Below are 13,620 nucleotides of genomic sequence, written 5' to 3'. Positions count from 1 at the left end.
GATGTCACCCATATCTCAATCTGTCTGCTGTAAGAATTTTAAAAATCAATGACTGGTTTTTTTTCTGCTATCAAAAAGTGTTCTCCAAATGCCCCCTTCATGCTCTGAGGTCATGTTAAGAAGGTATTGACTTGTTGTCTCAGCACCTCATTGTTTCCAAGTGCTCTAACCTCTAACGTCAGCTCCTGAATGAAAGAACTCATCGAAGAGCTGTTAGAAGGGATTAGATCATTTCAGTTTGCACAGTCCCATCTTCAGCTCTGGGTACACCGGTCAGCAGGACGGTCACCATCGCAAAAGATCACCCTGGCAGTGTCCCTGGCCTCCGATTGTTCTGATCCACAAAGGGCTGCACTGGAGGTGAAACAGTGTGCCCCACTTCCTATACTGATATGCTCATTAGATACATGTATATACACATAGCTGCACACATGGTTGGCTTCATAGTGCTTTTGTTTTCCAATATTTTTGGCTGAAACCTTTACTGATATGTTCATCCTTATAGTCTCCCATGCCATTACTTATATTTCTAAACCCTCTGACATAGTTTGGATATTTGTCCCCACCTAGATCTCATGTTGAATTGTAATTCCCAATTCACCTGGGCCTGGTGGGAGGTGTTTGGATCATGGGGACAGATCCTTCATGGCTTGGGGCTATCTTCATGATAGTGAGTTCTTGTGAGATTTGGTTGTTTTCTGATTTTTTTTTTTTTTTTTTTGAGACGGAGTCTCGCTGTGTTACTCAGGCTGGAGTGCAGTGGCACGATCTCAGCTCACTGCAACCTCTGCCTCCCAGGTTCAAGCAATTCTCCTGCCTCAGCCTCCCAAGTAGCTGGGACTACAGATTTGGTTATTTGAGAGCATGTGGCACCACCTCCCGCCCACTCTGTCTCTTGCCCCTGCTTTCAACATGTGAAGTGCCAACTCTGACTTTGCCTTCCACCATGAGTAAAAGCTTCCTGAGGCCTCTTCAGAAGCAGATGCCAGCACTGTGCTTCCTGTACAGCTTGCAGAACTATGAGCCAATTAAATCTCTTTCCTTTATAATTTACGCAGTCTCAGGTATTTTATTATAGCAGTGCAAGAACAGACTAACACATCCACTGCATACATTTAACAGGCTAACACATCCACTGCATACATTTTCTTTATACATGCTTAGGAATCTGCATGTTTGAAATAGAGAGACTCTAAAAGTTGACTCTTTTGAACACGAAAGACATTTCTTTGTATGGAGATTATCCAGCGGCAGTTAGATTCCCAGGGAGAAGTTACTGAGCCCCTTAAATGTAGTGCTATTAGTGCAATTCAAGGCCTTGTTACTGGCGCCTGAATCCTTCATATAGGCGAAAGGTGGTGAAAAAGGAAGGTAAGGGTCACTGTCATGTGGATATTAATTGCACACTTCCTGTGTGCCAGACACAGGACTGGACCCCAGAAACCTGGTGGTGAAGAAACCAGACAAGGGTCCTGCCCACCCAAAATTTGCAGGACAGACATAAATAAAATCATTATAAAGTATGATAAGTCCAACGAAGGAAAAGAAAAGGATGCATCAAGGAATGGTCAGTGTCTGTTCTGCTCATCATTGTATTTCTGCTGTTAGCCTGGTACATAGCAGATACAAATAATAATTACTTGGTGAATGAATGAATGTTTTAGCTCAATGTTTTTCAAAATTTAGCATGTGTCAGAGTCAAACAAAAGGTTTGTATGCTAGTAAACCATTGCTGCAAAGCAAAAGTTAGATACTAAAAAGATTAATAAGCATTTATTCTCTCACACAATTTCCATGGGTCAGTAATCTGGGAGAAGATTGGTTGGATGATTCTGGCTCACAGTGTCTCATAAGGTTACAATGAAACTGTCTGGATTCAGGCTGGATAATGTGTTTCCAAGATGACTCACTTGCATAGCTGAGCACAAGAGACCTTACTGCATGAACCTCTCTCCATAGCACTGCTTGGGCATCCTCACAACATGGCAGCTGGCTTCCAGAGAACGGGGGATCTGAGAAAGAGCAAGGAGGAAGGCCCAATGTTTTTATGATGTCATAAGCTAACACATCTGCTACATTATCTTTGTTATACACAAGTCAGCACCATTGTTATGGGAGGAAACTATACAAAGGCATGAATAGCAGGCACGAATCATTATGGAGTCAGTTTGGAGGGTGGCTGTCACAGTTTTGTAAACCAGATTACCGGGCCCACCCCTAGTGTTTTTGAGTTGCCGGAGGTTGTGAGAATTTGCATTTGGAACAAGTTCTCAAGTGATACTGACACTGTTGGTCCTGGGGCCACGCTTTGAGAACCATTCTTTCAGCTTTTTGGAATCTTAAGAACTTTAGAAGTCTAGTCCACAGGCTCCGTACTGATGGAGGTACCAGCAAGGTGATATGCATTTGGCTCAGTAGAGGACACAGGAATCTTGAATAACTACTAATCATGTACTTATTGCAATCTTTAATCCCAAGTGGGATAATTATTTTTATTTGTATTTAGTTAAAACAATGTAATGTATTACTAAAAATATAACATTTTTGTATATTTTCATCTTTTGAAATTCCGTAACATTAAATCCTATATTCCAGCAGTATTGGATGTTTCTGTTTGTTTGTTTGTTTTGAGACGGACTCTCACTCTGTCATCCAGGCTGGAGTGCAGTGGAGCCTTCTCGGCTCACTGCAACCTCTGCCTCCTGGGTTCAAGCAATTCTCCTGCCTCAGTCCCCCGAGTGGCTGGGACTACAGGCGCGTGCCACCGTGCCCAGCTAATTTTTTGTATTCTTAGTAGAGACGGGGTTTCACCATGTTAGCCAGGATGGTCTCGATCTCCTGACCTCCTGAACAGCCTACCTTGGCCTCCCAAAGTGCTGGGATTACAGGCATGAGTCACCTTGCCTGGCCTATTCCAGCATTATTGGATGTTTTAACTACAAATACAATTATTCTTTTTGTTTCTTTGGAAGACATAACTATAAAATTTACTTGCTTTACTAATGAACTCAGTTTTTGTCCTTAAAACTTCTTGTGAAATGACATACATTACAATGTGAACTGTAAATCCTTTTCTTAAAAGTGCATTTGTGTTTGTTCCTATCAAGTGGGGACCCAGATTCTTGAATATACTGATTAGTGGGGTATAAGTTTGCAAAAAGCAAGCAAAGTTCCAACTGTCATTGATTGCAGGAAGGCATTCTCTCACTAACATTTGGGCAGATGCAATTTGGTGTGGTCGACTTGAATGTTTCTCCCTGTAAAATTTGTATGTTGAAATTCTAACCCTCAAGGTGATGTTATTAGGAGGTGGGACCATTGGGAGGTGATTAGGTCATGAAGGTGGAGCTGCCCTCATGGACAGGATTAGTGCCCTTATAAAAGAGACCCCAGACAGCTCATTTGCCTCTTCCACTGTGTGAAGACACAGCAGAAAGATGGCCATCAATGAACCAGTAAGTGGGTCCTCACGAGACATTGAATCTGCTGCATATTGTTCTTGGAATTTCAGGCCCCTAAAACTATGAGAAATAAATTCTTGTCATTTATAAGCCACCCAGTTTATTGCATTTTGGAACAGCAGCCCAAATGGAATAAGACATTCAGCCAACACCTTCCTCTCAAAAAGCATAACATACTTTTTGCACTTTCATTAGCAACCCCTAGCCCAGTACCAGTAGTCTCTTTGATGGCTCATACATCGTGTGTTCTTGCCTTATTGGATTAGGAAATCTTTCTCTCTCTCTCTCTCTCGATCTCTCTCTCTCTCTCTCTGTGTGTGTGTGTGTGTGTGTGTGTGTGTGTGTGTGTGTGTGTGTTTTCTGCTGGGAAAAGGAAAGCAATAAATGTTAAAGGGAAAAGGAGTATAGAAACAACTTCTGTTCAGTGCACCAGTCTGAATGTTTCTTGGTTAGTAGGCCTGGAGATATTGTGACATCAGAATTGTCATTGATCTAGTACCCCATAGGCACGGCTGAGCTTTTTCTTTGGTGCTGTAAGATCTGTGCATTATTTCCTATGGAGAAGAAAATCAGATTTCCTAGTAAAATCAGATTTGGACAGAAATACTTAGTTTGCAACCAAATAAATTCTTCCTGTTTTATCTGAAAATAACAGGGCTTCCTTTTCCACTTCAAGAGAAAGAACAATAAGTTTCAAAATTTGAAGAACACATTGACCTAGCATTGAAGAAAGCAAACTCTAAGAACCTCTTCACCAAAAGTATTTTATTGTTGGAAAAACACCTGATTTCAGAAGTTTGCAATTTACGTACATAGAAAGTTTATCAAAGATAACAATGATTCTGTTTTCCTTACAATAAATGAATTCTAAAACATGCGAACAATTACATTATTGACATAATATAAATACATTTTAATATGAAATTAAACTATGCTTTCATTACAAGCTTACTTCAATATTAATAAGATTCTTATTAATGGAGAAACTGCATGGCAAAAATGGCAAAAACCACAATTACTTTTGTACCAACCTAGTATAATTTGAAGTCAGGTCATGTGATTTCCCCAGTTTTGTTCTTTTCACTCAGGATAGTTTTGGCTACTCTGGGTCATTCTATTGAATGGGTCTTTTGTGATTACATATAAATTTTAAGATTTTTTTTCTGTTTCTGTGAAGAATGTCATTGGTATTTTGATAGGGATTGTATTTAATCTGTGGATTGCTTTGAGTAGTATGGACATTTGAACAGTATTGATTCTTCCAATCCATGAACATGGAATATATTTCCATATTTTTGTGGCCTCTTCAACTTCTTTCATGGATGTTTTATAATTTTCATTATCGAGATCTTTCACTTCTTTGGTTAATTCCCATGTATTTTATTTGTAGTTATTGTAAATGGGATTACCTTCTTGATTTCTTTTTCAGATTGTTCATTGTTGGCATATAGAAATGCTACTGATTTTTGTATGTTGATTTTGTATCCTGCAACTTTACTGAATGTTTATCAGTTCTAATAGTTTTTTGGCGGAGTCTTTAGGTTTTTTCAAATATAAGATCATGTTGTCTGCAAACAAGGATCATTTGACTGCTTCCATTCGAATTTAGATGCCCTTTACTTCTTTCTCTTCTCTGATTGCTCTAGCTAGGACTTTCAGTGCTATGTTGAATAACAGTGATGAAAGTGGGCATCCTTGCCATATTCCAGATCTTAGAGGAAAAGTTTTCAATTTTTCTCCATTCAGTATGAAACTAGCTATGGGTCTGTCATATATGGCTTTTATTGTGTTGAATTATGTTCCTTTTATTCCCACTATTTTGAAGGTTTTTATCATGAAATGATGTTGAATTTTTTCAAATGCTTTTTCAGCATCGGTTGAAATGATTATATGTTTTTTGTCCTTCATTTTGTTAATGTATCACATTGATTGATTTGCATATGTTGAACCATCGTTGCATCCCAGGGATAAATCCCACTTGGTTGTGATGAATGGTTTTTTAATGTGTCGTTGAATTCAATTTACTAGTATTTTATTGAGGATTTTTTAAAATCAATATTCATCAAAGATATTGGCCCATAGTTTTCTTTTTTGATGTGTCTTTGTCTGGTTTTGGTATCAGGACGGCTTGTAGAATGAGGTTGGAAGTATTCCCTCCTCCTTTATTTTTCAGAATGGTTTGAGTAAGATTGGTATTAGTTCTTCTTTAAATGTTTGGTAAAATTCAGCAGTAAAGCCATTGAATCCTGGACTTTTCTTTGCTGGGAAACTTTATTACAGTTTTGATCTCATTAATTGTTACTGGTCTGTTCAGGTTTTGGATTTCTTTATAACTCAATCTTACTAGATTGTATGTGTCTAGGAATGTATTAATTTTTTCTAGGTTTTCCAATTTATTATATACTATTAATATATATACAATTTAATATATACTATTATAGTTGCTCATAGTAGCCTCTAATGACCCTTTGGATTTTTGTGACATCAGTTGTATTATGTCTCCTTTTTCATCTCTAACTTTATTTATCTGGGTCTTCTTTCTTTTTATCTTTATCTGGCTAAATATTTTTCAATTTTGTTTATCTTTTCAAAAAGCCAACTTTATGTTCCATTGACCTTTGTATCATTTTCTTCATTTCAATTTCATTTATTTTGCTTGATCTCTATTGTTTCTACTAATTTTGGTTTTGGTTTGCTCTTGCTTTTCTGCTTTTTAAAGATACATCATTTGGTTGTTTACTTGAAGTTGTTCTACTTTTTTATGTAGATGCTTATAGCTATAAACTTTCCTCTTGGTACTACTTTTGCTTTATCTCATAGGTTTTGGTATGTTGTGTTTTCACTATCATTTGTTTCAAGGAACTTTTAAATTTTTTTTCTAAATTTTTTCACTGGACCACTGGTCATTCAGGAACATACCATTTTATTTTCATGTGTTTATATAGTTTCCAAAATTCATCTTTTTAATTCCAAAATTCCTCTTGTTAATTCTAGTTTTATTCCATGGTAGTCAGAGAATACACTTGATACAATTTCAGTTTTTTCAAATTTTTTAAGACTTGTTTTGTGGCCTAACATATGGTCTACCCTTGAGAATTACCCAGGTGCTGAGGAAAAGAATGTGTATTCTGCAGCCATTGGATGAAATGTTTTGTAAATAATTATAGGTCCATTTGGTCTGTGATACAGATTAAGTCTAATGTTTCTTTGTTGATTTTCTGTCTGTATGACCTGTCCAATGCTGAAAGTGGGGTGTTAAAGTCTCCAGCCTTTATTATTTTGGGGTCTAGCTCTCTCTTTAGCTCTAGTAATATTTGCTTTATGGATCTGAGTTCTCCAGTGTTGGGTCCAAAATATATTTACAATTGCTATATCTTCTTGCTAAATTGACCCCTTTATCATTATATAATGACCTACTTTGTCTTTTTTTTATAGGTTTTTGGCTGGAAGTCTATTTTATCTGATACAAGTGTAGCTACCCCTGCTTTTAGTTGGGAGGTGGGTTCCATTAGCATGGAATGTCTTTTTCTATCTCCTTATTTTCAGTCTATGTGTCTCTTTATTGGTGAAGTGTGTTTCTTGTAGGCAATAGATCATTGGGTCTTGTTTTGTTATCCATTCAGCCACTCTGTGTCTTTTGACTGGAGAGTTCAGGCCATTTACATTCAGTGTTACTATTGATAAGTAAGGACTTACTCCTGCCATTTTGTTGTTTTCTGATTCTTTTGCAGTCTCCTCTTTCTTCTTTCCTTCCTTCTTGTCTTCCTTTTAGTGAAAGTGATTTTCTCTGGTGGTATTTTAATTTCTTGCTTTTTACTTTTTGTGTACCTGTTGTGTGTTTTTCAATTTGAGGTTACCATGAGGTTGGCAAATAATATCTTCAATTCATTATTTTAAACCAATTGCATAAATAAAGAGAAAACCAATAAAAATTCTACATTTGTGTCGTCCTCCCACTTTTTAAGTTTTTGTTGTTTCTCTTTATATCTTTTTTTAATGTCTGTATCTTGAAAAGTTGTTATAGTTATTATGTTTGATCATTTTTCAGTCTTTCTACTCAAGATATGAATAGTTTACAGGCTATAATTATTATAATATTCTATGTACTTAATATAGTGAGTACCTTTTGTACCTTCAGATTTCTTATTGCTCATTAACATTCTTTTCTTTCAGATTGAAGAATTCCCTTTATCATTTCTTGTTGGATATATCTAGTTTTGTTGAAATCGCTCAGTTTTTGTGTGTCTTGGAAAGTCTTCATTTCTCCTTTATGTTTGAAGGATATTTTTGCTGGATATACTATTCTAGGATAAAAGTGTATTTGTTTTTCCTTCTGCACTTTAAATATGTCATGCCACTCTCTCCTGGCCTGTAAGGTTTCCACTGAGAAGTCTGCTACCAAACATATTGGAGCTCCATTGTATGTTATTAATATTTGTTTTTTTTTTCTCTTGCTGCTTTTAGGATCCTTTCTTTATCCTTGACCTTTGGTAGTTTGGTTATTAAATTTCTTGAGGTATTCTTTTTCAAGTTAAATCTGCTTGGTGTTCTATAATCTTGTACTTGAATATTGGTATATTTCTCTAGGTTTTGGAAGTTTTCTGTTATTATCCCTTTGAATAAACCTTCTACCCCTATATCTTGCTCTACCTCCTCTTTAAGACAAATAGCTCTTAGGTTTGTCCTTTTGAGGCTATTTTCTAGATCCTGCAGGTGTACTTTATTCTTTCTTATTCTTTTTACTTTTGTCCCTTCTGACTATATATTTTCAAATAGCTTGTCTTCAAGCTCACGAATTCTTTCTTCTGCTTGAATAATTTTGCTATTAAGAGACCCTGATGCATTCCTTGGTATGTCAATTGCATTTTTCAACTCTGGAATTTCTGCCTGATTGTATTTGATTATTTCAATCTCTTTGTTAAATTTATCTGATAGGATTCTGAATTTCTTCTTTCTGTTATCTTGAATTTCACTGAGTTTCTTCAAAACAGCTATTTTGAATTTTCTGTTCAAAGGTCACATATCTCTGTCTCTGTGGGATTGGTCACTGATGCCCTATTTAATTTGTTTGATGAGGTCATTTTCCTGGATGGTTTTGAGGCTTGTGGATGTTTTCTGGTGTCTGGGCATTCAAGTGTTAGGTATTATTGTAGTCTTCACAGTCTGGGCTTGTTTGTATCTAACCTTTTTGAGAAGGCTTTCTAGGTTTTTGAAAGGAGTTGAGTATGGTATTATGATCTAAGTTTTTGGTCACTTCAGCTGTATCTGCATTAAGGGGCACCCCAAGCCCAGTAACACTGTGGCCCTTGCAGACTTGTAGAGGTACTGCCTTGGTGGTCTTGGATAAGATCCAGATGAATTCTCTGGATTGCCAGTCAGAGACTTGTTCTCTTCCCTCACTTTCTCTCAAACAAACAGAGTCTTTCCCTCTGTGCTGAGCTGCCTAGAGTGGGGAAGGGGGGACAAAAGCACCTCTGTGACCACCATCACTGGGACTGTACTGGATAAGTTTTGAAGCCAGCATAGCACTGGCTCTCACCTAAGGACCATGGTAACCACTGCCTGGCTACTGCCTATGTTCACTCAATGTCCTAGGGCTCTACAATCAGCAAATGATGAAGCCAGCCAGCTTGTGTCCTTCCCTTCAGGCTAGTGAGTTCCCCCTGGCCCCAGGTGGGTCTTGAGATGCCATCTGGGAGCCAGGGCCTAGAGTCGGAAACTTAGGATTCTACCTGGTATTGTATTTAGTGCAGCTGACCTGGCACCCAAGGCACAAGACAGAGTCCTCCCCACTGTTCTTTCCCCTTTTCACAGCAGAGGGGTGTCTCCCATGGCCACTACTAGCCCAGGCTCACAGTGAGTATTGCCTGGCTTCCACCAATGTACATTTAAGGCCCAAGGACTCTTCAGTCAGCTTATGGTAAATGCTACCAGACCTGGGATTCTCCTTTCAAGGCAGGGGGCTCCCCTCTGGCCCAGGGCAGGTCAAGAAGTGCTGTGTGAGAGCCAACGCCTGGAATCTGGCACCCCAGGAGCCTGCTTGGTGCTCTAACCCACTTTGCCCAAGCTGGTACCTTTGCTGCAAGACAAAGTGCCCTTTACTCCTCCTTTTCCTTTTTTCAAGCGGGAGTCCCTCCCTGTAGCCACCACCACTGGGAAAATGCTGAGTGTCACCTGAAGCCAACATGGCTCTGAGTCTCACCCAAGGCCCACAGTGAGTACTGCCTGAGTACCACTGCTAATTATTCAAGACCCAGCAGCTCTTTAGTCAGCAGATGATGGATCCTGCCAGGACTGAGTCCTTCTCTCCATGAAGCAGGTTCCCTTCTGGCTCAGATGTGTCTAGAAATGTCAGCCAGGAGCTAGGGCCTGGAATGGGGGCCTCAGGACTCTATCTGGTGCCCTATCCTACTGTGGCTGAGCTGGTATCCAAGTTGCAAGACAAAGTTCTCTTTACTCTTCTCTCTCCTCTCCTGATAAGGAAGGAAGGAGTCTCTTCCAGAGGTGCAGCCTGTGCTGCCTGGAGTTGGGGGAAGAGTGGTGCAAGCACTCCCTTGGCTGCCCTAGCTTGTGTCTCGCCAGGTCACATGCCTCCAAGTCCACTGGCTCTGAGCCCAGCACAGCACTAGGACATGCCCAGGAATGGAAGTCCTTGTGGCCTAGACTGCCGTTGATGTTTATTTAGGACACAGGAGCACTTTAGCCCCTGGTGGCGAGGCTTGCCAGAACTCAGGTTGTGACCACTGGGATGGATGATTTGCCTTTGGCCAGGGCTGGTCTAAATGCTCCTTCCATAGGTTCTGGCTGAGTTCTGCCCGGTGTTGCTTTCTGCTGTAACAGGGCAGCCCCGAGTTCCATTGCAAAGTCTCCCAGTCACTGCACTTTCCCTCCCCACAAGTGCACAGATTCTCCTCCCTGCTGGGGGATGGAGGAGGCACGGTGTTGGCAAGGTAAGACTGAGTTTCCGACTCTCTTCAGTGCTCCTTTCAGTGATAGAAAATTAAAACCAGGTACTGTGATCACTCGCCTGGTTTTTGGTTCTTACGAAGATGCTTTTTTTGTGTGGATAGTTGTTGACTTTGGTGTTCCTGCTGGCAGGACAATTAATTGGTGGAGGCTTCTATTCGGCCATCTTGCTCTGCCTCCCTATATCCTTATTAAGGTTTTAAAACTAATGTGTACTGAAGTTAGCCCTCTCAAATTTCTAAATTAATATTTTTAAATCTTGTTTTCTGTGTTTTTAACATCAGGTTTTTGTTATTACTGAGCAACTCCACCTCACAAAATATTCTGAAGAATCATTATTAGAGTTGACTATTTACTGCAATTAATCATGGAAACCTGAGTCAAAGTTGCATATCAATTATTGATAATTATTTTTCAAAACACTTAAACCATAACTTTGCAAATATGTTTTGACTTTTAGTATCAAGATTATTTCTTGGAATTCAGTAAAAACCTGACTAGCTTTTTAACAAATCCCATTTTATTAACGTATGTAAGGCTGAGGAGGTTTAGAATTACTATTTATCCTCACATAAGTATGTGTCCAAAGCTTTCACCAAACCTTAAGGAAGAGAATGACTCTGCCTTACTTTATTAGTTTTTCTTTGCAACTTTTGGGATAATCTCCTAGAACTTTGCAGTCCTTATAAAAAGAAGCAAAATAGTAATATAACTAAATGTTTATACAATTTTAAAAACACCAAATAACTCCACCTCCTTTTCTGGTACTGCCATCCTGACTTTATTTTAGTGTATACCCTTCCAAATCTTGAGCACATCCAGATTTTAACGTTGTTGTAATGAACAAGGCTCCCTCACTGTGAAGCAGCACAGCACAGTGCATGGTGTTCCCTGATTGAAAAAACAAATGAATGAATGGGAGGCTGTGATTGATGTCATCTTATAGACTCTCACCTTTGATTTAACTGGTCTCATATGTAGAAGGGTGGCCACCCTCCTGGCCTGTCACTTTATGTGTGCACTGTGGCTAAGACCTTAGATTCTACAGAGACCAGAATCAAGTCTTGGCCCTACCACTGAGTAGCTATATGACCTTGAACAAGTTACTTAGCATCTCCAAACCCCAGTTCCTTCATCTGTAAAATGAAGATACTGATAGTACCTTTAGCTTTGAATTATCATGTGCCTAAACACAATAACTAATGTTTACTATTTGCTGTTATTGTAATGCGTGTCATCTGAAAATGTATAATAGGTCAAATAAGACTCTTTCCCAAACAGAAAAGGACTGTTCTTTCATTAAGACCTATAATCAAGGTGAAAATAGACTTTTGTTTTCCTTGCTATTACAGAGATCATATAATTACATCAAACAGGTGTATCATAATATATGCCTTTGTTTAGTTGTTGATATTCTGGTTGTTTCAGAGTGCTTGATATTATCAAACAATTATGTTGACAAGTCATTACTCTATGTATGTACTCATACAAATTATGTGCAGTAAGTGACTATATAGACTTTTCTTTAAACTATTTCCTTAAGATAAATTCCCAGGAGTATTAGTGCCAGTGCAAAGGGTATGGCATTCTGGTGATTATTGATAAGAGCTGACATATTGCTTTCCCAAGAATTATGTAGTTGAGTTTCTAATTAGACTCCATATTTGTCCTCTGGGTTCACAGAAGAAAGTACACTAGTAGATATATTGGATTGTGTTACATGTACTATCTCCTTCTCTAGAGAAGCAATAAAGGAATTCATACACCTATTATTGGACTGCACATGTATTTTTAAAACTAAAAAGATGTAACATGAATCAGGGTAATTTAGATGATCCATAAGGACTCGTTTCTTTGGAACAACTTCTCCATCTCATTAGCTTCCTTACACTCAGCCCATTGGGAGCTACTTGTTCACATATGAAGAGCATTTCTCTCTTTCATCCCTAGTCAGATACTAGAGATTTTATCTTGTTATTCAGTGCAATGAAGTCATTTTGACTGTGCCTGACTGAGGATAAGGAATAATTTACTTGGAGTCCTGTAGCTTCTATTTTGCCCACGTAATGACATATTTTTATAGGTGAGTGATCTCACCTGGGGTCTTCATGCACAGCTGGATGGGTTTGCCACCTGCATGCAGTAGGGCATCCAGGCACACCAGCAGGCACCAGCCTCACCCACCCCGGCTCCCAGCCTGAGTGTTAACAGGCAGACAGGCCTTGTAGCCAGGGCCTCTGCCCAACATACACATAGACGTGGAACTCCTTTTTAAGGTACAATTGCCAATTCTTTTTATTGCAGAAGCCAGCAACACCCCCACCTTGCCTTTTTTTTTTTTTTGAACGCAAACACTACTCGTAATATTGTAACTAATATTTCTGAAGCTTACAGGTGCAAACACTGTAATTTCAGGCCAATTTATAGATGCACAAGAATAATAGGCTTAAAAACACATCATAACTTCTTTCTTTTCCATTTTATATTGGCTTTTGGAATCTCATTTTTTAATGTGTCACCCAAACTCAGAACATTAACACAAAATAATAAGCTACTTAACATCTATATTTAGGATCGTGTCAAATGTGTCACAGTTTTGTTGGTTAGGAACAACTTTTTGTATTTTCCTGTAAATAATGAATCCTGAGTGTGTGATAACAACAAATAATGCAGTGTAAATGAGCTAAAAATTGACCTTCCAGTATTATTCTTGCATTATACTATTTTGTTTAGGGTGGTAGAGTCTTCTTAAATTACATCAGGTTCAAATTTCCAAACCATCTTTTAGTTACAAATATTTTCTAGAACTACCACTTAAAAAGTCACTTTTATCTCTTTAAGAATCTCAAGTGTAGCTGTCATTATTTTCCATTTTATGATTGAATTTAAGGAGAAACCACAAAACAGCTCCTAGAGTTCTGTTAGTCTGGCATATTTAATACACTTAGCCTTTCACCCTCACCCCTCATTCGGAAAAGTGTTCTGCAGTGTTCTATTGGTGACTCTTAGAAACTGCTAATTTACTTCATGTGTGAGTTATGTTCAAGTGTTTATTAGAATTGATTTAAACTGGTAGTTTTCCTGTTACTTGTATTATGTTCTGTTTTATATCCAGAGCTCATTTTGCTATTTAATGAAAGGCTATTTTCATCAAGGAGAAAATTTTGTTTTTCTCAATGATTTGGGATGTTAT

General features: G+C 38.4%; 1 protein-coding gene across 16 annotated transcripts in view; it reads left to right on the top strand.

Moving 5' to 3' along the window:
- Positions 1-13,620, top strand: part of ST6GAL2 (ST6 beta-galactoside alpha-2,6-sialyltransferase 2) — an 85,678-nt gene that overhangs the window by 60,017 nt on the left and 12,041 nt on the right. For 4 of the 16 annotated variants that reach the window (XM_047446033.1, XM_047446031.1, XM_047446029.1 and 1 more), the window contains exon 6: positions 1,960-2,600. The exons of 10 other annotated variants lie outside the window; for them this stretch is intronic. In XM_047446033.1, coding sequence (XP_047301989.1) covers positions 1,960-2,051 — 92 coding nt within the window. In that variant the 3' untranslated portion in view covers positions 2,052-2,600. Of the gene's footprint in view, positions 1-724; positions 2,601-13,620 lie in introns of those variants that run through there. 2 more of the 16 variants (XM_017005110.2, XM_047446028.1) reach the window with 1 other exon arrangement.

The sequence above is a fragment of the Homo sapiens genome, chromosome 2 (assembly GCF_000001405.40).
Source record: "Homo sapiens chromosome 2, GRCh38.p14 Primary Assembly".
Classification (NCBI taxonomy): domain Eukaryota; kingdom Metazoa; phylum Chordata; class Mammalia; order Primates; family Hominidae; genus Homo; species Homo sapiens.
This window is presented reverse-complemented; position numbering and strand designations above follow the sequence as displayed.